General features: G+C 44.7%; 1 protein-coding gene across 30 annotated transcripts in view, besides 1 other annotated feature; it reads left to right on the plus strand.

The window, feature by feature from the left end:
* Positions 1 to 27,836, plus strand: part of GRAMD1B (GRAM domain containing 1B) — a 269,346-nt gene that overhangs the window by 136,315 nt on the left and 105,195 nt on the right. For 3 of the 30 annotated variants that reach the window (NM_001387032.1, NM_001330396.3, XM_017018046.2), the window contains exons 1-2: positions 15,180 to 15,301; positions 15,917 to 15,960. The exons of 25 other annotated variants lie outside the window; for them this stretch is intronic. The gene's annotated coding sequence lies outside the window, so the exon portion shown is untranslated. Of the gene's footprint in view, positions 1 to 15,179; positions 15,302 to 15,916; positions 15,961 to 27,836 lie in introns of those variants that run through there. 2 more of the 30 variants (NM_001387033.1, XM_011542931.3) reach the window with 1 other exon arrangement.
* Positions 23,849 to 24,028: a silencer, noted in NCBI's record as "silent region_4018". NCBI's record gives its function as "represses an Ori minimal core promoter by ATAC-STARR-seq in GM12878 lymphoblastoid cells {active_cell/tissue: GM12878}" and the evidence as "EXISTENCE:reporter gene assay evidence [ECO:0000049][PMID:35858748]".

Below are 27,836 nucleotides of genomic sequence, written 5' to 3' on the forward strand. Positions count from 1 at the left end.
AATTTTTATTCCCCAGCTTCCCTACTTCCTGCTGGGAGAAATTCCATCCTCCTACCAGCCTCAGCGAAGAAGGAATGTGAGTGGGTGGCAACTCGGGGGCTCAAAACAGAGAGTCCGATCTTAGGCTTGTCCTGCTCTCTGCTGCATTCTTTGCCTCCCTTGTACTCCAGGGTTGAGATGAAGTCAGGGGATAAACTGCTGGGTTCTCTTTTCAATCACTCACTGATTAATCATGTAAGCTCGGGAGAGCTCTTTACTACTCCTAACTTGCTCTTCTAGGTATTGAGGAAGTCATTGTACCAGAAGTTGATGCTCCGGCTTGGATTCAAACACCTATCACTAAAATTGTTTGAGCACATACCATATGTATATATACATACACACACACACACACACACACACAGACACACATACACACACACATAAATTATGTGTGTACTTCTGTACTAAATATTTTATGTATACTGTAATATAATGAAACAAATTTTAATAAGATGGAATAAACATAAATATAAATACAAGCCCTAATATGCTTTTTAAAAAATTAAAAAAATTCCATGGATACATAGTAGGTGTATATGTTTATGGGTTACATGAGACACTTTAATACAGGGATGTAATAGTCACAGCATGGAAGATAGGGTGTCCATCCCCTCAAGCATGTATTCTTTGTGTTACAAACAATTCAGTTATACTCTTTTAGTTATTTTAAAATGTACAATGATTATTGACTATAATCACCCTGTTGTGCTATCAAATACTAGGTCGCATTTTTTCTATTTTTTCTGTACCCATTGATCAGCCCCACTTCCCCCCACTTTTCCACTACCCTTCTCAGCCTCTGGTAACCATTCTTCTACTCTCTTTCTCCATGAGTTCAATTGTTTTGCTTTTTAGTTCCCCCAAATAAGTGAAACCATGCGAAGTTTGTCTTTCTTCTTCTTTTTTTTTTTTTTGTCTTTTCTTGTTTTTTATTTTTTGTGCATCGGTTGTGTGTTTTTTTGATTTGAGGTCACTATGAGGCTTGCAAATACTATCTTATAACCCATTATTTTAAACTGATGACAGCTTAACACTGATTGCATAAACAAACTAACAAACAAAAACAAATAAAAACTCTACACTTTAATTTTGCTTTTTAGCTTTCTGTTGTTCTTTATGTCTTATTGTACTTTCTGCGTCTTGAAAAGTTGCCATAGATATTATTTTTGATTGGTTCATCATTTAGTCTTTCTATGGAAGATAAGAGTACATTATACAACACAATTACAGTGATATAATATTCTGTGTTTTTCTGTGTACTATTACATGTGAGTTTTCTACCTTTAGATGATTTCTTTTTGCTCATTAACATCCTTTTCTTTCAGATTAAAGAACTCCCTTCAGCATTTCTTATAGGACAGGTCTGGAGTTGATGAAATCCCTCAGCTTTTGTTTGTCTGGGAAGGTCTTTATTTCTCCCTTGTGCTTAAAGGTTACTTTCACCAGATGTACTATTCTAGGGTAAAAGGTTTTTTTTTTCCTTCGGCACTTTAAATATGTCATGCCACTTTTTCCTAGCTTGTCAGGTTTGCACTGAGAAGTTTGCTGCCAGATGTATTGGAGTTCAATTGTATGTTGTTTCTTTTCTCTCGCTGCTTTTAGGATCCTTTTTTAAAATCCTTGGCCTTTGGGAATTTGACTACTAAATGCCTAAGCTAGTCTTCTTTGGGTTAACTCTGCTTGGTGCTCTATAACCTTCTTGTACTTCAATATTGATATCTTTCTCTAGGTTTGAGAAGTTCTGATATCATCCCTTTGAATAAGCTTTCTACCCCTATCTCTTTCTGTAAGGCCAATAACTCTTAGATTTACCCTTTTGAGGCTGTTTTCTAGATCTCGTAGGCATGCTTCATTGTTTTTTATTCTTTTGTCGCCTCTAACTGTATTTTCATATTTCATATAGTCTGTCTTCTAGTTCACCAATTCTTCCTTCTGCTTGACCAGTTCTGCTATTAAGAGAGTCTGATGCATTCTTCAGCATGCTAGTTGCATTTTCCACCTCTAGAATTTCTGCTTAATTCATTTTAATAATTTCAATCTCTTTGTTAAATTTATCTCATAGAATTCTGAATTCCTTCTCTGTGCTATGTTAAATTTCTGAATTTCTTCAAAACAGCTATTTTGAATTCTCCGTCTGAAAAGTCACATATCTCTGTTTCTCCAGGACTGGTCCTTGGTGCCTTATTTAGTTTGTTTGACGAGGTCATGTTTTCCTAGATGTGGTGTTGATGCTTGTAGATGTTCTTTGGTGTCTGTGCATTGAAGAGTTAGGCATTTATTGTAGTCTTCACAGTCTTGGCTTGTTTGTGCTTATTCTTTTTGTGAAGGCTTTTCAGGTATTTGAAGGCATTTGGCCCCCAAACCAAATAATGTTGTGGTTCTTGTCTACTCATGGAGGTGCCACTTTGGTGGTCTTGGAGAACATCAAGAAGAATTCTCTTGATTGCCATGCAGAGACTCTTGTTCTCTTCCCTTACTTTCTCCCAAACAAATGCAGTTTCTCACTGTGGTTAGCCTCCTGGAACTGAGAGTAGGGAAACAGAAGCACCCCTGTCGCCACCACCATGGGGACTGCACTGGTTCAGACCTGAGGCCAGCACACTATTGAGTCTCACTCAAAGCCTGCTGTAACCATGACCTGGCTACCATGTAAGTTCACTCAAGATCCTAGGGCTCTACAATCAGCTGGTGACAAAGCCAGCCAGGTTTATGGCCCTCCCTTCAGGGCAGCAAGTTCCCCTAGGCCCCAGATGAGTCCAGAGATGCTGTCTTAGAGCCAGGGATTGAAGTAAAAAACCTTAGAAATTTACCTGGTGTTCTATTCTACTGCAGCTAAGCTGGCAGCCAGGTGCTGTGGCTCACGCCTGTAATCCCAGCACTTTGGGAGGCTGAGGCAGGCGGATCATGAGGTCAGGAATTTGAGACCAGCCTGGCCAACACAGTGAAACCCCGTCTCTACTAAAAATACAAAAATTAGCAGGGCATGGTGGTGGGTGCCTGTAATCCCAGCTACTCAGGAGGCTGAGGCAGGAGAATCGCTTGAACCCGGGAGGCAGAGGTTGCAGTGAGCCAAGATTTCGCCACCACTCCCCAGCCTGGGCGGTAAAGCTAGAATCTGTCTCAAAAAAAAAAAAAAAAAAAAATGGTAAGCTAAGCTGGCATATAAACCACAAGAAAAAGTTCTTCCCACTCTTCCCTCCCCCTTCCCGGCCAGAGGAGCCTCTCCCTGTGGCCACCACCACCGGCCAACAGGGGGTTTTGCCAGGCCACTGCTGATGTTCACTTAAAGTCCAAAGACTTTTCATTCCGCTTGTGATGAATGCTGCCAGGCCTGGGACCCACCCTTCAGGGCAGTGAGCTCCCCTCTGGTCCAGAGCAGGTCCAGAAATGCTGACCACGAGCCTTGAACTGGACCTGGGGACCCCAAGAGCCTGCTTGGCGCTCTTCCTCACTGTGGTCAAGCTTGTACTTAAGGTTCAAGACAGAGTGCCCTTTACTTTTCCCCCTGCTTTTCTCAAACTGAAGGAGCCTTTTACTGTAGCCACCACAGCTGGGTTCAATGCAAAGCCTCACAATTGCTGCGCTCTCCCTCTCCCAAGTGTACAGATTCTTCATGCTGCACATCCACTGCTGGAGAATAACGGAGGGGAGGCGCTGGTGATTCAAGACTTTCTTTCCTGCCCTCTTCAATGTCTCTTTCAGTTATATGAAATTAAAACCAGTTACGGTAATTGCTCACCCAACATTGTTTCTTGCAATGGCCCTTTTTGTGTGTAGGTAGTTTAAAATTTGTTGTTCTTATAGGGGCAATGAATGGTGTAGGCTTCTATTCAGCCATCTTGCTGTGTCCTATCTAATATTTTATTCCTCCATGGCCATGGGTAAGTGTTCATGTCTCCTTGATTATGAGTGTCCCGCTGGTTAGACATGGTTCTGAAGCAGTGGTTTTCAGCCTTTTAACGTGGTTCAGAGTCACAAGCAAAGCTTATTTAATATGCAGATTCGTAGGCCCTATTCTTAGATTCTGAGTGCTATGGACTGGGAAAGGCCTAGGAATTTGCAGTTAACATATATCCCAAGTGATTCTGATGCAGGTGGTCTTGGACCATGCTTTGAGAAATATGCTCTTTCTCGAAAAGCAGTGCTGATAAAGAAAATGTAAATAAAAGTGCAAAATAAAGAGAAACATGCCCTGAGCCCTGATGCCTCCTGTGATCCTACTCTAGCTAATATCCGGCACACAATTTAATAGGGCTGGGACATGGAAGGGCCTTTTGATACGTAGCTTGGTGGTATGGTTTGGTTGTGACCCCAAAATTTATGTGTTGGAAACTCAATCCCCATTGTAACAGTATTAAAAGGCAAGGCCTCTGGGAGGTAATTAGGATTAGATTAGGTCATCAGGGTGGAGCCCCCATGATGGAACTGGTGGCTTTAAAAGAAGAGGGAGAGAGACATGGCCTTGCCCTCTTGCCATGTGATACCTTCTGCATGTTATAACACAGGAAGAAGTCCCTCACCAGATGTGGCTCCTTTGTCTTGAGAACTTCCCAACCTCCAGAACTATACGAAATAAATTTCTTTTCTTTATAAATTAACCAGTCTGTGGTATTCTGTTATCGCAACAGAAAAAAGGACTAAAATACCCAGGGACACAACTTCTGTGTCCCTTACCTGTCTTCTGCATAGTCCAAGAATCACCATTCGGTGGCAAGGAGAAAGGTGGGTGGAGGGGTACGTAATTAAGTTACTTATTCCATCTTATCTGTCACCAACTTTCCAGGTTACTCAGTGCCTCTTTTCTTATCCTCAGGCATGTAAGCAATTAAATGCTGGCTCCCTTTCTTTTTCTTTGCCATTTCTCCTTAGTCTGAAGGTGAAGCTCTTCCACTGAGATGTGGAGAAACCCATTTTGACCCTGATTCAAATGGTGGTGGGGTGGGGAGATGGGCTGTGGGAGTAGAGGTTGTTTGCGTGCACCCCCTACTTCCCCACACAAAAGCTCTCTTGTGTCTTTTATGTCAGCATGATGGACGAATTAGTCAATTGAATTTAGAGTTGGAATTTTGAAACTCTTTGTTTGGTTGACTTTTGAAACTCCACTACACGCTTGCTGTGGGATCCACAAGGGGAGCAATTTCTCCCACTCATCTTTTTTCCCTGTAGAAATGAAACAGATCTATTGTCTGTGTTTCCTTCTTCTGGGCATCTTAAATGATGGATAGGTTCAACTGGCTGAGAGTTATCCTTGTAAATAAGGGTATTTTGGCCGGACGCAGTGGCTCACGCCTGTAATCCCAGCACTTTGGGAGGCCGAGGCAGGCAGATCACTTGAGGTTCGAGACTAGCCTGGCCAACGTGGTGAAACCCCGTCTCTACTAAAAATACAAAAATTAGCTGGGCGTGGTTGTGCATGCCTGTAGTCCCAGCTACTTGGGAGGCTGAGGCAGGAGAATCGCTTGAACCCAGGAGGCAGAGGCTGCAGTAAGCCAGGATCATACCACTGCAGTCCAGCCTTAGGTGACAGAGCAAGACTCCATCTCTCTCAAAATAAATAATTAACTAAATAAATACCAACAGATGTGACCCTTAAGCAGAGACTCAAGAGGTCCAGTGCGCTACACTCTCCTAATCCATACATTTCTTCTTCAGTACCTATAGCAAATGGTTATATGCTTGTATGTTATTCACTTCCACAATGGGAAATTTGCTAAAATTAATTGGAGTCTTTTTAAATGAAGAAATTGATAACTATAGGAAGCTTTCACCAGTCTACAAATGTGACCAGTAAATCCAAGAAAATGCAGAGTGTCTGTGTACTTTGTGGAGGAGCAATGTTTATGTTCTAAGGTAATAATAATGGTATTATTATTAAAATAATAATAGCTACCTTGAAACCTTTTTATTTTTTTTTTGACAGAGTCTCTTTTGTCACCCAGGCTGGAGTGCAGTGGCGCGATCGCGGCTTACTGCAACCTCTGTCTCCCAGGGTTCAAGTGATTCTCCCGCCTCAGCCTCCCAAGTAGCTGGGATTACAGGCACACACCACCACTCCTGGCTAATTTTTGTATTTTTTGTAGAGACAAGGTTTCACCATGTTGGCCAGGCTGATCTCAAACTCCTGGCCTCAAGTGATCCACCCACCTTGGCCTCCCAAAGTGCTGGGATTACAGTCGTGAGCCACCATGCCTGGCAATAGATGCCATTTTGAGGGCATATTGCGTGCTTAACACTGTGCTTTTCCTGTGCTATCTTATTATACAACTCTAAAAGGGAAATTACTATTATACTCATCTTCTAGATGAGGCTTAGATTGTCCACTGTCAAGCTTGTTGGTAGCATAGGTAGGATTTAACTCCAGAGCTCAAGTTCTTTTTTGTTTGTTTATTTTTATTTTATTTTTATTTTTTGAGACAGAGTCTCGCTTTATCACCCAGTCTGGAGTACAGTGGCACGATCTCGGCTCACTGCAACCTTTACCTCCTGGGTTCAAGTGATTCTCATGCCTCAGCCACCTGAGTGGCTGGGACCACAGGCACGTGCCACCATGCCACGCTAATTTTTTAATTTTTACTAGAGATGCGGTCTCATCATGTTGGCCAGGCTGGTCTTGAATTCCTGGCCTCAAGTGATCCCCCTGCCTAGGCCTCCCAAAGAGCTGGGATTACAGGTGTGAGCCACTGCGCCAGCCTGGAGCCCAAGTTCTTACTTGCAATACTCTTACTTCTCCTCCAGCAAAGAAACATGATTATCAAGGCACTGGGGACCCTGTGCAGAACCTGCTTTTTCTTGAATCTCATGGATCTTTTTTTCTAACTTGCTGGAATTGGAGCTCCAGAGGTGGAGGTGTGTGAGCAAGTCTATTAATGGCCATCCCTTGGCAAGCTTCAAAACCAGACAGAACAAGAAAAACAATTGACCAAGAGAGAATAGAGACCCCAATGCTTCTGAATGATCTAGTTAAAGATGCCTTTCGGCCAAATAGGATTTTTTCTTAACTATCATTTTTGAGCATGTTTCTTGTGTCTTACTGATTTTGAGAAGTGCCTTAAAATTTTAATTGGCAAGTTATATGTGGGAAAGTTCCAGTACATCTTTTTGTTTGACAACATCTTTCTGATGCTTTCTTTAGTTTCACTCTCATGCCCAAGCAGTGAAACAGAGCTGTTGTCTTACCTTTCTGCAGGTACTAAGTGAAGCCCCATAGGTATTTGCATGAGCTACAGAAGTCCTTTACCTTTCTTCCCTTTCTCTCCTGGGCTCACCAGCATCCCCAGTAAACCATTCTCCTTCAACAGGAGTCCCTGAGGCTGCTGCTGCTTACTGGACTGCCAGGGATCCATAAGCATAGGCTGCTAGGGATCTGTGAGCATAGTCTGTTTGCACCTCATCCTGTTTTTCTCTTGGCTTCAGCATGAGTCACTAGAGGGTCTCCCAGTGGCCTGCATGCAGTGATGTCCAGGCATTCGGACAATCCTTCCTTCTCCCATCCTAACTCTTCTTTCATCACTGGCCTCCCCAGTCTAAAAGAGTGTTTTAGTAGAATGATGCAAACGTGCATGTCCCATTTACAGTGTACCATAAAAAGGCCAGGCAATATTACTGGACCTAGCCCCCTCTCCCTTCCCTGCTGACCCCTTGCCCATTAATCCGGTGGCTTCTCTTATACAGATGCTCCTGAACTACGGTTACTTCCTGGTAAACCCATCATAAATTGAAAATACTGTGGCACATGCCTGTAATCCCAGCACTTTGGGAAGCTGGGGCAGGTGGATCACCTGAGGTCAGGAGTTCAAGACCAGCCTGGGCAACTTGGTGAAACTCCGTCTCTACTAAAAATACAAAAATTAGCCAGATGTGGAAGTGCGTGCCTGTAATCCCAGCTAATCGGGAGGCTGAGGCACGAGAATTGCTTGAACCCGGGAGGCGGAGGTTGCAGTGAGCTGAGATAGTGCCATTGCACTCCAGCCTGGGTGGCAGAGCGAGACTCCATCTCAAAAAAAAAAAAAAAAAAAGAAAGAAAGAAAAAGAAAATGCACTTAATATACCTCACCTACTTAATATCATAGTTTAGCCTGGCCTATCTTAAACATACTCAGAATGCTTACATTAGCCTATAGTTGGGCAAAATCATCTGGCAGTACAGTTGACTGTAGAGTATTGGTTGTTTGCTCATGTGATCCCGTGGCTGACTGGGAGCTGTGACTTTCTGCCACTTCCCATCATGGTGAGAAAGTATTATAAAGCATATCGCTAACCTGAGAAGAGATCAAAATTCAAAATGCGAAGGATGGCCCATCAGAAGTCAGGGATTGTTTGTACTGTCATTCCGAACCTTGGTGTGATAGGCTGTGAAGTCCTCTGCAGCCTGGCAATAGGACATTTGTGAACAAGGGTACAGGCATAGGAGTGAGCTCCCAGGGCAGGGCGTGGCAGCCTTATGCAGTCATGATCTTTTCCATTTTTGAAGCACTTGAACAACTTTGTCATCTGAAAGCACAGTGCAAGGGACCAGCTGCTGACTGGAAGTGGTGCGATTGTGCCTGGAGATGGTAGGTAAGGGAAGGAGCTGCATAACCAGACCAGAGCTAGCTTTGCATTGGCACCAAGTGCAGACGGCTTGGAGGACTGAGGGAACTCATGGAGTCCCCATTGTTCTTAACCCCCCACCCATACCCCTAAGATAGTAATTATAAAGACAAGATTATTTTAGTTAACGTTGATTGAATGTGCCTATTATGTGTCAGTTACTGCATTTTCATTTAAATTTCACCTTTTTTTTTTTTGTGATGGAGTTTCACTCTGTCACCCAGCCTGGTGTGCAATGGTGCAATCTTGGCTCACTGCAACCTCTGCCTCCCGGGTTCAAGGCATGCTCCTGCCTCAGCCTTCCAAGTAGCTGGGAGGACAGGCATGCGCCACCACACCTGGCTAATTTTGTATTTTTTAGTAAAGACAAGGTTTCACCATGTTGGTCAGACTGGTCTCAAACTCCTGACCTCAGGTGATCTGCCCTCCTTGGCCTCCCAAAGTGCTGGGATTATAGATGTTAGCCACCACCCCCAGCCAAATTTTACCATTTTTTAGTTACTGCGTTTTCACTTAAATCTTACCATTTTTCTATGAAATAGTATTATTATGACCTCCATTTTATAGACAAGAAAACTGAAGCTTAGAGAAGTTTCATAACTTATATAATGTCATGAAGCTATTAAATAATGTGCTAGAGTTTGAACTGGGAAATTTGACTGTAGACTTCAATCACTGTGCTGCACTATCCTGTCCAGTTCTAGAGGCTGAGGTCGAGGTAATGTCACTCATGTTTCTGTTGCTTGTTGCGGGGGCGGTCTCAGGAATTGCTAGCAGCTAAGGGAGGTGGATTTCCCTTGGCCTATCATGTTTTTCCCTGAGGAATTCAGGCATAGAACAGCACTGGTCCCCGCCAAGGCCCTCAGTCTTGCACAAGGTACGAGCTCCCCTAAGCAAGACGCCATGGGAGGCTGACAGCTTCCACTTTGTCCAGCCCGCAAGGACTTGTATTCAGAGAGTCCTTTCTCTCTTCTCCTGATATCTCCCTCATAGCTGAGTGTGCAGTACTAGAGATGACTGACCCCGAAGGCTTAGCTATTTCCTTTTCTCCTAGAAGCTGATCTTCAATTCTCACCACCTGTGTTCCTCCCTCCTTATCTTGACTGCTTCAGAAACTTCCGCTTCAAGCCTTTATACAACAACCTGACTTCCCCAGAGAGCAGTGCAGATTGGCAAGACCAATTCAGACTTGACCTTTGCAGCAGTGACTCCCGCTGTGCTAGTTTTTCTTGTGCCAGGCAGCTTCTCTCCATCCACAGCTCCTCTCTGTTTCACCTCTCTCCTCCCACTTCCAACCAGATCAGTTTCTCTGATTTTCTTTTTTTCTTTTTTGAGACAAGATCTGGCTCTGTTGCTCAACCTGGAGTGCCATGGTGCAATCCCGGCTCACTGCAACCTCCGCCTACCAGGTTCAAGCGATTCTCATACCTCAGCCTCCCAAGTAGCTGGAATCACAGGCGTGCACCACCAGGCCCAGCTAATTTTTGTATTTTTAGTAGAGATGGGGTTTCACCATGTTGGCCAGGCTGGTCTCAAACTCCTGATCTCAAGTGATCCTCCAGCCTTGGCCTCCCAAAGTGCTAGAATTACAGGCTTGAGCCACCATGCCCAACCAGTTCTCTAATTTTCTTTATGACTTTTCTTTATTTCCATGTAGACTCTTACTGTTTTTGATGACATTTTTCTACCACTCTCCCCAAAGCCCCTCTTAATGTCGGACACCCTGTTCGGCAAGTATCTCCTGTTGTATTTCCTTATTCCTCTTTTTCTATATTTTCCTTATTTTAGTGACTGTCTCACCTCTCTCTTTCAATGTCTTTAAAAAATATATTAATTTTTTTTTAAGAGATGGGAGTCTCTCACTCTGTTTTCCGGGCTGGTCCTGAACTCCTGGCCTCAAGTGACTCTTCCCCCTTAGCCTCCCCAAGTGCTGGGATTATAGACGCGAGCCATCATGCTCAGCTTGTTTTGATGTCTTTGTTCACCTAAAACAGCAGGTGGGTTTGACTGCTGTCCACTCTACCTCTACAATCATCAATTCTGTGGGGGACATAAAATTTCCTGCTCTGGGGTAAGAGGTCACATGGATTAGGGGAAGACAGGTGGTAAACCACTGAATGAAAAACAAACACCTAACTCTTAGGTAATATTTATTATGTGCCAGACACAACTCTAATCCCTTTACATATGTTATCTCAGTTAATCTTTGTAACAGCCTATGACTTGAATAATATTATTATCCCTGTCTTATAGATGAGGAAATGGGGCACACAGGGCTAAGTAACTTGCTCAAGATTCACAGATGGTGGCTGAGTGGTCGAGTCAGAATTCAAGCTGAAACTCTTCCTCACGCTCAGCTGCCTCTAGAAGTTGATGGTTAACAAGCAAAAGAAAAGGCACTGAAGCAGATACACATCCTTATGGGAACACAGACACACTGCCCTCTTTCTCTTTCACTCTCTCTCTCTTTCTTCCTTCTTCTTTCTTTCTCTCCCTCTCTTCTCCTCTTTAGAGAACCTGTCATCTACATATACAGGGAGCGTCTACATCTAGTGACCTCTCAAGGTCTTCCTTATTTCAAGTCCCTTGTAGTTCTGTGAATCTCTTTCTGTTTCATCACCATCTTTTCAGTTTACAATCAGCACCCAGACTCTGGAGAGAAGGGATTTCACCTCTTTGGCAAAAGCATCTGATCTGTATTTATAGGCTTAGGACAGGCAGAGAGATCAAGCCACACACTCTGTAAGCAATGCAAACATGGGCGCAGCACTGCCCCTCACTCAGTACTACATGTCCCAGAGTGCAGCGGGGGAGGTTGATGTGACCAGGGTTTGAAACAGCCTCACTCAGTTTCCTTGCAGCCCCACCTCCCAAGAGGCAGCTGCCATGGAGGCTCTTCCTAAAGAAGCAAGTGCAGTGTCCAGCCTCGGAGCTGTCCTTAGGGAACTTGGTGCTTGTGCTTCCTGCAACCCCTTCACCCACGCCCCTGCCAGAACTCACTCCAGCCTCTTTTCAAAAGCATGTTTTTTGTTTTTTTTTTTCTGTCTCTCTTTAACTTAGTGTATAAGTACAGTGATTAAGGAGTTAGAAAGTAATACCCAGGGTAAAGCAATTAGTAGAGATAATTGCCCTAGAGAGAGAATGATATTATAAAGAGGCATTTCTTTCTGTATTTCCTTAAATATTAGGCAAAATGAAATGAGCCTAAGTTGCAGAAGAGGGAGCTTCTCTGGTCTCTAGTTCAAAAAGCAAAAAGCAAATACATACAATAGAGAAACTATTTATCTTATGAAGAATTATTTAGATCAAGTCCTTTCTGGTTAGTAGCAGCAGAGGTAGGGATTCAATGGGTTTTATTTAGACAACCTGAATTAGTACCCCTCCCCCTCTCTCCCACCCTGTTTTCTCTTTCATTCTCTTTTCTGGAGTTTTCTTTGACTCTGGGACTTCTCCCCACTCTCATTAAAGCCTCCTGCCCAGCCCCACTGTTCCCTGCCTCCTGCCCAGCCCCAACTTCTAGGTTGTCTACTCTGCAGTTAACAGCACTCTCCCTCCTGCTTTGAGTTCAGACATATGAATCTCTGTGTAATACACATATGGTGCTTCTGAAGCCTTCTGCACATGTTCACCAGGGCTGTGTCACAGTTCTTTAAAAACTGAGTCGGTAGATGTTTTTGGTCATTCAGGAGACTGGGTGGACCCCCATTAACATGGATCTGATTTCTGTGTGACTTTGATGTAATAGAACATCCTTCTCCATGGATACTAGCCTTCTGCTCTCCATGTGTTTGTACATTTGACTATCAGCCCAGGAATAAAGAGGATGGCAGGCCACAGCAAGAGCCAGAAGAAACATTACAGGCCTCTGAGCAGAGAAGATGACGTGTAGATTGGCTTGGCCCCCACACCTTTGGTTTGTGGTGGGGGTATGATTGATTACTCTACTGCAGTGCTAGCAAAGCCTCATGGCTTTTCAAGTTTATTGTATTCAAGACCATAGTCTAGGGCTTATAGAAACCAGGCAATAGGCTAAAGAAAACCATCTATTAGCCTAAATTCCACTACTCTCATCCTCAACCTTTTTTATTAGTGTGGGATGGAATAGGAATGGGAGAAGTGTTGAATTGTTTATTGTGGCTGGAAAAAAAACACGTTCCTCTAACAGGATGTGTGCCTGTATCAGGATATACATCCTTCCCCCTTACCTCAATTTGAATCAGAGTAGTTAAATTAAAATAAGGTGAACATGAGTAAATTCATTTAAATACTTTTTATCTAAAAGCAATTTTCACTGTACATAGGACATAGGAGATTGGTTTAAATGTATATACCAATCTCTGAATAGTCCCAAGATTTTTTCCTTAATGTTTAATAATGCATTTTTTATAATTTGCCATCTTCAGTTTAAAAAAAGGCCTCAAAGGGAAGTGTCCAATTGAGGTTTTATATTCTCTACCAAACTATAGTAATAGGGAGCAGGACTTGGGTGCAGATTGAGGAGGAAAATGTTAAGAGGTTGGAAATTTGGTATTATGATGTTTAGTGGAAAGGAATTTGCACTTAGTGAATATGGGGTTGAGTCTCAGTTCTGCTCTACTGACTGTGTGACCTTGGATGAGTTGCTTAAAGTCTCTGAATCTCAGTTTAGTTATCTTTAACATGGGGGAAACAGTGTTGATCTCACAGGGCTCTCAGTATCCATGGAGGGTAATGGATTTGGAAACGATCTTAGTATATTTTCTGCGGCTATAACAGAACACCACAGGCTGAGTAATTGATAAAGAACTGAAGTTTATTTAGCTCATGGTTTTGGAGGCTGCGGAGTCCAAAAGCATAACACCAGCATCTGGAGAAGGCCTTGTGCTGAGTTACCCTGTGGCAGAAGGGCAAGAGAGTGCCTTAGACAGGAAGAAAATCGGTTGATCTCATCCTTTTATTGGGAGCCCACTCTTATGATAACTAACTTATTTTCAGGATAAGTGTATCAAACCATCCATGAGGGCCACTCTCATGACCTAATTACCTGTTAAAGGTTCCACCTCTTAATACTATACTGTTACAGTGACCATTAAATTTCAACATGAGTTTGGACACTCAAACTATAATAGAAATGCATTGTAAATTATGGAGCACTGTACAAATGAGAGTTGTCACAATTATTGTTCCTGTAGTTAAGCCAGACCCGTGAGCACTGTGTTGTCAGTGTCATCAGTTTTTTGGGAAACTCTTTCCTAGTCTGTATTGATCTACCTGATTGAGTTGCTTGGTTATAAAGTCAGACTTGAACAGAAGCAAGGTAATAAATGATCACACAATCATTGCCTTCTTTTTTTTTTTGGCAGAGTTTTGCTCTTGTTGCCCAGGCTGGAGTGCAATGGCATGGTCTTGGCTCATAGCAACCTCTGCCTACTTGGTTCAAGTGATTCTCCTGCCTCAGCCTCCCAAGTAGCTGGGACTACAGGCGTGTACCACCATGACTGGCTAATTTTGTATTTTTAGTAGAGACGGAGTTTTATTATGTTGGCCAGGCTGGTCTCCAACTCCAGACATCAGGTGATCTGTCTACCACAGCCTCCCAAAGTGCTGGGATTACAGGTGTGAGCCACCGTGCCTGGCCGTGCCTTCTTTTTTAAATTATGTTTTACTTTATCTAACACTTGCTTTGTTGTTTTTTTTCTGTGGTCTTGGGGCTGGATTGGGAGTAGGTGTGGGGGAGGAAAGGAAGGAGTAAATAAGGAGGGGTCAGTTTTCTCTGAGGATCTCACCATTTCTGAGGGTAAAGTCTACATGGAAATGAACACTGGGAGACTGACATCCTTGTTTTGACCCTTTGGCTTTTTATCTGGGCCTTAGTTTCCTCATCTGCAAAATGGGAGCTGAAGCTGTAAGGTCCTACTCACTTGTAGCCTTTTGTAGATGTGAGATCACAAGCATGAAGGAACCGACGTCCCTAACAGAAGATAGGTTAGCATGTTTCAGGGGCTGCTATAGGGGAGCTGTTGGGGGAAAATGATAGGAGGGAGGTACTTGGAGATGCCTCAGGAAGGACATGGGTGTTTTTCCATAGATTATTCTTTCTGATTGGGAGAAATATCTTTAAATATTTGGATGGGCTTATTTTCATGTTTTTGTCAAGCAGGTCAGTGGTTCACCAGAGCGTACACCCCGTTTCCTCACCAGTTTCTAGAAGCCTTGCTCTGTTGTATGGATGCCAGCTCTGGCACCGCAAACACACACAGTGAATATATGTACTGTGTTTTAAGTAGAATCCTTGCACTGTCTTGGGAATGTGAGCAGCCTGTTCCTCTCTTCCCAACAGGGCTGGGATACTCTGATCCCCTTCCTCAGGGTTCCCCTGATGGATGCAGCTTATCCCAGGTTGACCGAGTAAAGTGGGCCAGAGAGGAAGCTGTAGTCACTGCAAGCGAGCGGCCTGTCCCTGCTGGGCAGGAAACCTAGAGTGATGAATGGGGCTGGATGAAGTCATCCTGCTCCTCCAATCAGACTGCTCGGAGAGAGCCAGGGGCCTCTGCAGATCCAGCCAGGCTGCCGGCTGCTCTCATGTACCTTTAGACAGAGGCTGTGAGTCTCTGGGAGTGGAGTGGGGGGGTGTGAACCGCCCGCTCCTGGCTCCTGTGTAGGCCTCAGTCAGTCTGAATGTTATTGCAAGGTGAGTGGCTTCACCGGGCGAATTTCTCTCCTTTTGCATTCTCCACCTTGCCGTGCCAGGCTCCGGCTTTGTGGCTCCGGCACTTCCTTGCACAGCACCTTTCTGCTTCCAGCTGAGTGCCTGCACCTTCTTGAGGTTCTCACACCCGCCTGCCCGCCACCAGCTGCTGACCTTCTCCCTTCCTGCTCCCCCCGGCTCTTGCTCATTACCTGCCAGCTGGCCTCTTCCCACATGCCCCCCTCATCCTGACCTGTGGGTACCAGTTGGCGGGGTGATGGGAGGGCAGGCCTCCGTCTTTGTGCCCTCTCCCTCTCAACAGGGGGAGCCTGGGAAGACCCACACTTCGCTCCTGGGAAGAAGTACCAGGCCAGGGGAGGTGCCCCCTGACTCAGCCTCCTGGGAGTCTGTGGAACACAGACAGGAGACAGGGCCCCCCTGCTTGCTGTGGACCTCCAGACTCTGACCTCTTACCCAGAAACTGAGGAAGTCCCAGGGGGCCAGAGAGTGGAAATAGGTGTCTTATTTTCCCCAGCCTTCCAGAGGGGTGGTTTGTTCTCCGTGGGTGGACGTTTGTGACTCTGCCTTTTCTCTCTGGATGGTGCCGCTGCTCCTTAGGCCAAGCAGAGATCATGGAGCCGGCTGACATGGCGACAGCAAAGGTAGGATGGAAATGCTGCCGGCCGCACTGTGCGTAAGTGGCTTCGCTTGGCGAGTTCTGCCTTTGGTTCACTTTTCTCTCTCCTCCTCTCCCTCAGCCCGCCACTCGTGAGCATCCAGGGGCTGTGTCAGAGTGGAGGGAAATGTTGTGAGCACCAAGACCTCAGGAGAGGCGAGGAGGTGCCAGGTCCTACAAAGCACATGCCCCACCTTGGTGTGCTTGGAAGTCGGAGTGGGTGGATGAGGGGTGCAGGGTGGGGGGTGGAGGTATCTGTAGCTTTCATCTGCACTCACTTATATGTCCGTTGTTTTCTTTAGCCTTGCCCTATTTTTTGTTTCTCTTTATCCTGTCCCTTTTTCAGTTATGCCTCTTTTTCACTCTCTCTCTCTCTCTCTGTCTTCTTCCTCTGCTTCTTCTCTGCACTGCATTCCATTTGTGCAACCTCCACACTTTCTTTTCACCTTCTGTTTGCTTCTCTTTTGCTTCTCCCTGTTGTATAAGGAATGGGTGGGGTTGGTGCGGGCTGGACAGTCTTAAAAGCAGAGACTGCCTCTCATCCTGCAGCAGACGTTGGCCTTGGGATTGGAGAGGAGTTTTTATGTGAGTGGCAGATGCTGCCGCTGGCCCCGCCCACTGCTCGCCGGATGCCCCAATGGCAGTGCGGGCCCGGGCACCTCCAGGGAATGGGGCCTGGGTGCTGCGCTGCTCAAACTCTGTGGGCACGCTAGAGGGCGCTCCTGAGATAGCTTTCAAATCTCTCCTGGCTCCTGCTTGCAATTTGAAATTTGCTTTCCTGTGTATTTTTCCAGACAAGGAGTTAGAGCCATTGGGAGTAGATGGGGGCATCTAAGGAGGCTGAGTCTGTGCAGCCCCAACCCCAGCTCCAGTGTGCAGGGAGAGATGTAATCCTTCGAGAATATCTCAGCCCTTCATTTGGGAGCCTTGCTTTTTGGCCAGATGGCAGGGTCTCCTTTCTCTCAGAGATGGAAGACTGGACAAGGCTCAGACTTCTGGAGCAGGTTGGGTATCCTGTGTTGTGTATGGAGGAGAGAATGAGAGAGGAGGCCCAAGCGGCAAGTCTGCTGCCAGCCTGAACCGGCAGGAATGTGTTACAGTGGTTAGAACATGTCTCTGGGAATCATAGAACTTGGTTTTCTGCTCCTCCCAGCCCTACAGGCTGTGTGATCAGATCCGAGTCACTTAACTTCTCTGGACTTCCATCTCCTGGTCTGCACAAAGGTGAAAATTACACACATCTGTTGTTTTAATCAGTTTAGATCTGTCAAATTCTCAGTTTTCTTAGAAAGGAGCCAGAGAGAGCAAACTATAGAGAACAGGTCTCCCTGGACCCATTCTCTCCTCTGTCTCCGCTTCCTCTCTCTTTTCCTTCCTTCCACAAACATCTGAATAGCCCCTTTGAATATGAGGTGGTGCAAAGTGCTTGTACTACCTTGACAGTGGGCAGTGGCGACCATGAAAGCAGGCATCTGCAACTGTGTTTGGATCCCAAACTGCTGCAAGCAGTTTGCTCTCTGGTGGGAACGCTGCTGTCTGTCTTCACCAGGGCCTTGCAAAGCCTCTAGTGAACTAGCTCTTGAGGTTGTAGGTGGTTTGTTATCAACCAGCTGGTTCTCAGGGGATGGTGGTGGCAAGTGCTCTGGAAAAGGTATGATTTGGGGATTTTGGGGATTTATTCTGTGGCTGGTTTGGAAAGGTCTGTTTAGTTTCTATTTGCATATGGAGGCAGAAACAGCCTGATTTTACTTAGGCCCTTGCTGTCCCTTAGTCCAGATTGCACATGATCTAAGCAGGTATAGCATCAGATGTTAGAGACGAATCATTCCTTTTTTATTTTCTACAAAAAATGAAAAATTAGCCAGGGGTGGTGGCATGCACCTGTAGTCCCAGCTACTCAGGAGGCTGAGGCATTTACTTTCAGGACCTTGACCAAGAGAGAATCTGATTGGCTAACAGAAACCGATGTCATTTCAAAGCAGCATTGTGAATCTTTTTTTTTTTTTTTTTTTTTTTAACCTTCTCTAATCCAGACCCTTTGGAAATTTACTTCAGGTATTTTCAGTCTGTGCCTGTGAACCATTCAGGGCTCTGAATGGACTTCAGGAGAGGGTCCACGAGCCCCCTTCATTGGTAGGCAGAATTTTGTATCTCTGTACATTTTTCTGGGGAGAGTATCCTTGGCTTTCATCAGCTCCCCAGGAGGCTTATTACTCAAAAAAGTTTAAGAACTTTTAACTGATCAAGATGCTTCCATAAAGAGCCTATTTGTATAGTCTAGGTACAAAGCCCAGGTACAAGAGGAACTTACATATTATGGCCAATGTCCTGGAATCTCTGATAATGCATAAAAGCAGCTTGTAAGTAACTTACATACAGTTTCAATATCACTTTTTAAATGTCTAAATACTTGAAAAATGCATCCCCCTTATCTCAGGCTTCCCTTTTTATTTCTGAGATACTATTCCCAGAATTTCCCCTAGCCGCAATGTACTGGGTTAATTTACCCTGGAATGAAATAGCTTTTGGTGGAGGTGTGGTCAGTCTTATGACAACATTCCCTATTAGACTCTTTTCAGTTCCTGGAGTAGAGCTTTTACAGGTGTGACTTCACCTTCTGGAGTCTGGATTTTGAGGTTCTATTAGTCCACTGCATTGTCATAGTACTACCCTTTTTTTTTTTAAGGTTGCACCTCAGACTAGGGCCATCTGATAGCCTGACCTGACTGTGTTAAAATATGTAGATGATGAATTGTTACTGAGAGTTAGTTTCCTTCCTTTCTTTCTCCCTCTCTCTTTCTTTCTTTCCTTCCTTCCTTCCTTCCTTCCTTCCTTTCCTTTCTTTCCTTCCTTCCTTCCTTCCTTCCTTTCCTTCCTTCCTTCCTTCCTTCCTTCCTTCCTTCCTTCCTTTCTTTCTTTCTTTCTTTCTTTCTTTTTCTTACCTTTCTTTCTTTCTTTCTTTTCTTCTTTCACAGGGTCTCTATTGCCTAGACTGGAGTGCAGTGGTGCGATCATGGCTCACTGCAACCTCAACTTTTTGGGCTCAAGTGATCCTCCTGCCTCAGCCTCCTGAGCAGGTGGGACTACAGGTGCATGCCACCACACTTGGCTAATTTTTTATTTTTTGTAGAAATGGAGTCTCACTATGTTGCCCAGGCTGGTCTCGAACTCCTGGGCTCAAGCAATTCTGCCACCTTGGCCTCCCACAGTGCTGGGATTATAGGCTTGAGCCACTGTGCTGGCAAGAGTTTTTGTCTTAACTTTGAGAAAAGAGGTTAGGGAGCATTAATTAACCCATTCATTCACCAGAGGGTTATTAAATGCTGACTGTATGCCAGTGGAGAGAGTTCAGTATGGAGAGTTTAGAGATGGGTAGTTCACAATCGCCGTGAAGAGTTGTTCATGGGTCCTCGGGGGAGACAGACAAGTAAACAAATTATGGCAACACAAGGTAATAGGTTCAAAATCAGGGACGCAAGAAGAATTACTTGACTGGGCAGTTCATAAAGGGCTTTGTAAAGAAGGTTACATTTGATCTGAGACCTGAAGTGTGGGTGGGAATTTATCAGGTGGACAAGAGAGGAAAGATGATGTGGCTGTGATTTAGAGTTGGACATATCTAGGTTCAAATGCTGACCCTGTTGCTTTCTGGCTCTGTGAACTTGAGTGGGTTATCTTGGCCTTCCCTGGTCTCAGTTTCCTCGTTTGTCCATGAGTTCACCATCAATACGCTGGGATTGTCATGAGGATTAAATGCAATGTCTTAGGATTAATGCCTGGCACACTGCAGATAGTCACTGAATGGTGGCTGTGGGTGCAGAGATCTGTTAGAGAATAGTGGGCCCAGGATGGACATGGCAGGGCCCAGGGCACGACAAGTAGCTTGGCAGGACTGGTGCTTAGGATGCATGTGGAAGACAAGAGGCAAATGTGAAAACCAGAAACAGAAGCAGGGAGCTGAAGCGCTGTGAAAGCCCGTGCAGTGCTGAGACTGCATAGACACTGCGAACAGCTGAAGGACTTCGAGGTACCATCAGGTTTGCTTTTGAGAAAGTACTCTGGCTCCAAGGTAGACAAGTAAGATAATTGCCTCATTTTGCTCCATCTCTGATAACTTTATTATTACTATTATTTTTACATCTATCTCTCCCCACTAGACTGTGAGCTCCTTGAGGGCAGGGATTGTGTGTTTTGTTTCTTAATTCACAGAAACCCTGGCACTTAGCATTTTACTTGGCAGGTGATAGATGCTCAATAAATATTTGGTGAATGAACAAATAGGAGAGGGTAACTGCAACTGCAAACCTAAAGGTAAGAATTGAAAGGCAGGTGAACGTTGACAGCAAGAAGCACACTCTAGTCATATTTCAGGTGCTAGAACTGACACGACGTAGTTCCTAATTAAATGGGAGATGGAGGAGTCTAGGGTGAATCGTTGGTTTCTGACTGGGTCACTTGGTAGCTGGTGGTGTGATTTGAGATTGATACAAGACGTCAGAGTTGGGAGGAGACAGTGGGACAGTGAGGAGTTCCCTTTATTCATACTGGCTCTGAACTGCCCGTGAGATATCTAGGTGAAGTTGTTCAGAAACAATGAGAAATTTGTGTCTGAGGTTAGGGAGTGGTACTGGTTGAGCATCCCAGATCTGAAAATCTGAAATTAGAAATGCTCCCAAACCTGAAACGTATTGAGTGCCAACATGCCGTTCAAAGGCAATACTCATTAGAGCATTTCAGACTTCAGATTTGACTATGTATCCTGCAAATATTCCAAAATCCAAAAAAATCAGATGCCCCGTCACAGCAGTTGAGAGGCAGAGGCTCTCCTTATAGGATGAGGTCTTAGAACGGAGAGCCTTCTTCATAGGGGAGTCTGAACTTCTGGATTTTGTGGAGAGATTGAAAAAAATTGGTGGACCAGCACAGAATTACCAGTTATTTATTTTACCTATGAAAGCTAGCAACTAAACTGAAACATAGAACTACCACCACTATGTATATGTATATTTAAAGAATATTTAAACACAAAATTTAAAAGGTCATGCTGTCAATATATTCAAACCTTTTTTTTTTTTGAGGCAGAGTCTTGCTCTGTCTCCCAGGCTGGAGTGCAGTGGCATGATCTCAGCTCATTGCAACTTCCGCCTCCGGGGCTCCAGCAATCCTCCTGCCTCAGCCTCCCATGTAGCTGGGACCACAGGTGGGCAACACCACGCCGGGCTAATTTTTGTATTTTTAGTAGAGACGAGGGTTTCACCATGTTGCCCAGTCTAGTCTCAAACACTAGAGCTCAAGTGATCTGCCCACCTCGGCCTCCCAAAGTGCCAAGATTACAGGTGTGAGCCCCCGCACCCAGCCAACATATTTAACCTTTTGGTGTTTACCACATTGTCCTAATTTTTCTCAATTCATTACCAATCCATGTAAAAACCCCATCATGGTACACGCCAGCACACAAGTGCCACTGGATCATCAAAGGTAGCTAGTGGCTTAGTGCATGGAAAAGCATTTACTGAATAGCGCTGGTCACAAAATGGATGGAAGCTGAACCCTTTGGTTTACTCATGATATGCCAGTCTCATGTCTGTTGTGATGCTGAGAGAAGGTAGTGGGTATCTGTGCCTGAAACAACTTAAAGCTTCCCCTGCCCTAACCTTAGGGCGCTGTTGAGAAAATGTCCCGATGACTGGAAATGAAACTGTTTAAAGTCGAACTCATTAGATGCTCCATCCAAGTAAACCTGTATTTATTGGCAGTGATAGTAGCAATATGTTCCGAAGGCACTATTTCTGGACACCTCTCATGCAAATAGAAAGCTCTTGTCTCCATAAAGGATGATGACAAATATTGGATCCTTTTTCTGGCTCTTTTGTGTTAAGACCAGACTAATCAAGAAATATCACAGACAGACTTAATGTAAGTCAGCTGAGACTATTCACCATTACTCGTCTGTTGATTAAAAAAAAAGTTGGTATAATGATTACAAACCTATGCTCGTTTTGGAAAACAGAGATATATCCTTCTGATTAGATAAGCGTCTCTTAGAGACTTGTTGCCTTATATTTTAAGTTAGTGTTATTTCATATAGTTTAATGCCCATCTTTTATCTTCCTTGTTGGATTATTGACTTGAGATCAAGGAGAACTCTGGATCTAACTTTGAAATATCATTGTGATTTGCTTGGGTCATGAACATATTAGACGCTCCATAAGTATGGTTCTGTTTTTGAGACGGGGTCTTGCTCTGTCACCCAGGCTGGAGAGCAATGGCACGATCTTGGCTCACTGCACCCTCCACCTTCTGGGCTCAAGCAATTCTCCTGCCTCAGCCTCCCGAGTAGCTGGGATTACAGGTGCACACCACCACGTCCAGCTAATTTTTGTGTTTTTAGTGGAGACGGGGTTTCACCATGTTGGCCAGGCTGGTTTCAAACTCCTGACCTCAAATGATCCACCTGTCTCAGCCTCCCAAAGTGCTGGGATTACAGGCATGAGCCACTGCTCCCAGCCATATGTACAGTTCTTGTTGAAAAAATAAACAGCTGATTGACCTAACAGAAAGAGCACAAAACAATGCAAAAATATTCCCAACAAAATAGGGAAAATTGGAAAATTTGTTGACATAAAGGAGAAAAAGTAGATTAGGAGCAGGAAATGGAGCCTGTGGTTCCTGTAGTATATAGTGGTGGTTCTGTGGACATGGGTTGGGAATAATCACAGCAGTGGTGAAAATGTATTGAGCACTTACTTGCTCTTAGTGTCATCCGCTCCGCATAGCAACCTGATGGGTGCTTGTCATCCTCACCTTTTTAATGGATGAAGGAGTTGAGGCTTAGAGAAATGGAGTAAGTTGCTCAAGGTCACATAGCTGTTAAGTATAGATTTGAACTCAAGGCTAATTCTAGAATCGCGGTGCTAAACCACAATACACACCACCGGGGGTGGTGTCAGTCCCTGTTCAATGAAGAATGCGGTTTTTCTGCACTTGTCCTATCATCGAACAATTTCTCTGCCAACAATAAATAGATTCTTATTGTGTCCTTGGGCAGACGACTTTCACTTTTAAAATGAGTTAACGCTCAATTCATCTGTATTTTTAAAAATGGTAATACTGATATGTAATTTAGTGGAAGAAGCAGAAATCCCCATTTGGTGGGAGGACAACAGGAAGCAGCTGGCTGTGGGTGTATGGGTGCCCCCTCCCGGAGAGAACCTGAGTTTATAAGCACCCTCCTGGGTCCCTAACACCATCAGTCACCCTGAATTTCTCCTGAGGATAAACCAGGAGGAGCCACGGGGGTGATTAGAAATCTGCCTTCTTTCTTCCATCTGGCAGGAGAGATGTTTTCTTTTGTTACGTGTGTAATTAGGATGATGAGTGACTTCAGGCAACGGCCCCTCTCCTGGTTGTGGGGTTTCTCTGAGGTGTGTGCATCTTTCTGACAGCAGGGCTCTTACCTCCTTGGGGCCACCGTTAAGTGCAGCAGCAGAAGGGGTCTCGTGATCCGGGACACGGGGATGAGCAAGCATGCAGAGAAACCAACACTAGTCAGGCAGTCAAGCATTCAGGAAGCGGGAGGAAGATTTTGGAGGTGAAGGGGAAAGTGGGATAGAGCGGGGAATCCTCTATGGGGATTTCTATTGCCAGACAGAGCTCTTGTCTCCTCATCAAGACAAAGTCTCCTTGGAGAAGGGATATCGATGGCTGCTTAAACAGGGGGAAGAGAGAGAGCTTAGTTGGGTGTTGCACTGAATTCAGTGAGGGAGGTGATCCCAATGTATGGCCTGGCTAAGGAGTTTCCTTACCCCGAGTTGCATGAGGGGGCTTGTGATTCTCAGATACGGTGTTTTTACCTTTTACTTTTTCCTCTTTTTACCAATTACAACCTTATAGAGCGGCTAGCAATGGCAGTACTAGTAGGAAGATAACTAGACCTCACTAAGCCTGCGTGTCTTGTGTTAAGTGTGGTTTAGCACTTCACTGGGCTGCTGTAAGAATCACTGGGCATGAGGTCTGCGCAACCACTTTAGATTCTAGAGTGATCAGAGGATCAGAGCCATCCACGGAAGCCCTGGCTGCCTCAGTCTTGCTTCCTCCCCTTCCTAGGGGCAGAACGAAGCTGAGTGGAATTTGGCTTTGATATTGCTCATCCTGTTTATTGCCTGAAGGAATATTCTGGATTAGCAGATTGTGAAAGAGGGGCAAAGAAGCCTGGCGGGAGGTGATTCTATTCATTTTATTTTTTAACTCCAGTGGCTTCAGTAAATCCAGGAGGCCATAGGAGCAGAATGAAGCATTCTTGAAGCAAACAGCCCCGCTTTGCTCTGCCCCCAAGCCTGCCACCCTTTGCTAGCCCTCTGGCCGGGTGCCTGCCCTGCACAGCGCTGTTTCACCCAGATGGTGGGCCTGGAGGGCAGGGGTGTGCATAAGGGTACCAAGGACAGGAAGGGAGGGGCTGGCTTTGGAGGCTCCAAGCTGGGAGCTGACATAGATGAATAGGCTAGAAGGCGAGGCCAATGCCTGCAGCCCACACTGTCACCCCAGAGCCAGTGACTAATAGTGGCAGAGGGTGGGGAGAGGAGAGTGCCAAGGGAGGGAGAGGACAGGGAAGTGGTGGGGAGCACCTGATCGGGGTGCAGCCCTGGCCATCTGCTGGTCAGCTCACACAGGCTCTCTATTGAGTGCAGTTTGGAAGCGGATTTTGGCTGGAGGACTAGAAAGAGGCTTGTTGTGGAAATGGAGTGTTTAGGAGGCTGTTCCTCCCCCGCTGCTCCTCTCTCACTTGCTTCCTGACCTCCAAAATGCTCCTTAAATATAACACTCTCAACGCCTGATGACTCCCCTGCCTGAGCTTAGAGCTTTGATTCCCCAACGTGTGACTGCAGCACTGCTCTGCCCCAGATTTCCCAGCAACTAGAGGCATGCAGCTATGCCCCGGTACTGCAGCGCTGCTGCACTCCTGCTCCTGGAGCAAAGAGGGGCACATAGGGAGAGCAGCACAGAATCCAAGAACTTGAGCTAGAAGGAGAGCTTCAGGGATCCTGTCGTTTATTTTCTGCTCCAGATAGGGAGCCAGAGGCTTGGAGTGGCTTACCCAAGGTCGTGGGATTCTGGTGGTGGAAAGAGCTCCAGATGAGGAGGTGGGAGGCAGGAGGGCCGAATTCTCCCTTGGCTTCTGCCACTCAGTGGCGGAAGCCTGAGATAGGAGCCGATATTGTGGCATTTGAGTTCACAGCTTCCAGGTTTCCCTTGGCCGGATGGCCCTGGGTGTCTGCAGGCAAGGTCAACAGCAGCATGCTCTGGTGACCTCTTACCATTCTAGTCCCCATTTATGGATGAGACAAGAAACACCAATCATGTTTTTGTTGGATTAGGAAAGGAACAGTGCCAGGGTAGGCGAGACTTTAAGACTCATAGGAGACCAACAGAAAGTCAAAGCAGCTGCAATCAAAAGGAAAAAGCTGAACTCTTTCCGGCCTCCATTCTAAACCCAGTAAAGTTCAGAAGAAACCGTGGTAACAAGAGACTTGGAGTAATACAAATCAAACCAACTTCATGTTCATTAAATTAGTGGACTCAGAAAGGCCAGTTTCTGTGAAAGTATAGCTGTGAAAATGCAGGTAACACAAAATCTTGTCTAGACCCCTGTGCCCTACCCCCTCTTTATCAAGCCTGTTTATAAAAACCCAAAAGGGGTTGGTATTCAGTTGTTTTCTAAATACTCTGTGTATTTTAAAATTGTTTGCATTGAATAGTTAGCTAATACAAAATAATATATAGGGGGGCGCGATGGCTCACACCTGCAATCCCAGCACTTTGAGAGACCAAGGCGGGTGGATTGCTTGAGCCCAGGAGTTCAAGAACAGCCTGGGCAACACAGCGAAACCCCATCTCTACAAAAAATAAAAATAAAAATAAATTAGCTGGGCATGGTGGTGCGTGTCTGCAATCCCAGCTATTCAGGAAGCTGAGGTGGGTGAATCACTGGAGCCCAGGAGGTGGAGGCTGCAGTGAGCCGTGATCATGCTACTGCACTCCAGCCTGGGCAACAGAGTGAGACCCTGTCAAAAAAAAAAAAAAAAAGAAAGAAAGAAAAAGGAAAATAAATAATATTTATAAAATATATAAAAATATGTGTAAAGTATAAAGAACAAATGACAATTGCAGGAGTACCTCTCACCTGTTCTGCTCCATTGCATGTGACTGATTTATGCATTTTCAATGCTGTGTACTGTTCCACCTTAAGAAAATAACACGAGGCATGTATCCTTTCTGTTGATAGACATTTGTTTTCAGAGTTTTTGTTTTGCTTTTGCTGTTACATGGAGTGCTATTTAAAGTCTTTCGTGCATGCCTCTGAATGTGAGTTGCTTCTATTATTGGAGTAGAACTGTTACGTATTAGAGTATGCAATCATCCAACTTTATTACATAATACCATATAATTTTCTTAGGGAGTTGAACCAGTATACACTCCCACTAGCTCCTTTCCAACACTTGATATTATTTGACTTTTTAATTTTTGTCAATGGGATGAGTATGTGATGACATCTCACCAGAGTTCCAATTTATATTTTCCTGAGTACTAATGGATTGAGCTCCTTTTTATATAGTTTATTGCTTTCTTTTCTGAAAATGCTAACTTAAATCGTTTGTCTATTTTTAGAATTATCTTTCTTTTTCTCATTGGTTTGTAGGGATTTTTAATAAATTCTGTGAACAATTCCTTTCTCAACCAATATATGTTGCACATATTTTCTCTTAGAACAGCTTTGTCTTTTCTCTCTATGATCTCTTTGGATGATCAGAAGTTTTTAACTTTACTGTGGCTGAGTCTATCATTTTTTTCCTTTATGGGCATTGTTTTTGGGTCAGTTGTTTAGGAAACTCTCAGGGTACAATCAGTGTAAGAGTCAGTTTGTGATTATGATTTATCAGAGGAGATTATTCTTCCTCCTTTGTTCAACATCAAGGTTTAGGACAGGGAATTTTCCTTTTAGTTCCTGGGCAGCATTTGTACATTTCTTTCAAGTTTATCCTTACAGTGAGAGTGTAGTCCACTGGGATCCACTTTATGAGGTAGTTGCCTCTTGATTCTCTCACCACTTGTGGGCTTTGGGAATTATCTCTAGTGTGCTCTGGGAGGCCATGAAAACTGAAGCCCAGTTTCACTATTTTCTGCCATCACTAAATTTTTGACGTTTAAATATTTCTTACTTTTTTGATAGCTCATCAAGCACTTTAAAATAATTTCTTTTTTTTTCCTATTTTATCTGTGTGTATGCCATATTGCCAGATATGGAAGTCTTTGCAATCTAGTTTCCTCTAAACAATTCTTATCCTTCCTGAAATGCAAATGTCAGGAAGCAGCCAGATTGCAGGGAGTCAGGCAGAAGCAGGAGAATCTGTGTATTCATTCCTAGAGGTTGTGTTAGTGCTTGCGATTTATTGGCCAGGAACTTTTCAAACCATGGAGACTGCTTTCCGTGAGAAGATAAAGAGGGAAGTTAGATGAGGAACATTTTTCCGTCTCACTTGGTCTCAGTCTTTACCTCAGAAAGCACTTCAATGTCTCTTCAAAGCTATGTTTGGATCACCTTTTGAGATTTTCTTTTTCTTTTTTCTCTTTTGGATGGTCTTGCTCTGTTGCCCAGGCTGGAGTGCAGTGGCGTGATCTCGACTCACTGCAACTTCCACCTCCCAGGTTCCAGTGATTCTCCTGCCTCAGTCTCCCAAGTCTTTGGGATTATAGGCGTGCCCTACCACGCGTGGCTAATTTTTGTATTTTTAATAGAGACAGGCTTTCACCATGTTGGCAAGGCTGGTTTCGAACTCCTAACCTCAGGTGATCCACCCATCTCGG

This window comes from Homo sapiens, chromosome 11 (genome assembly GCF_000001405.40).
Source record: "Homo sapiens chromosome 11, GRCh38.p14 Primary Assembly".
NCBI classification, from domain to species: Eukaryota; Metazoa; Chordata; class Mammalia; order Primates; family Hominidae; genus Homo; species Homo sapiens.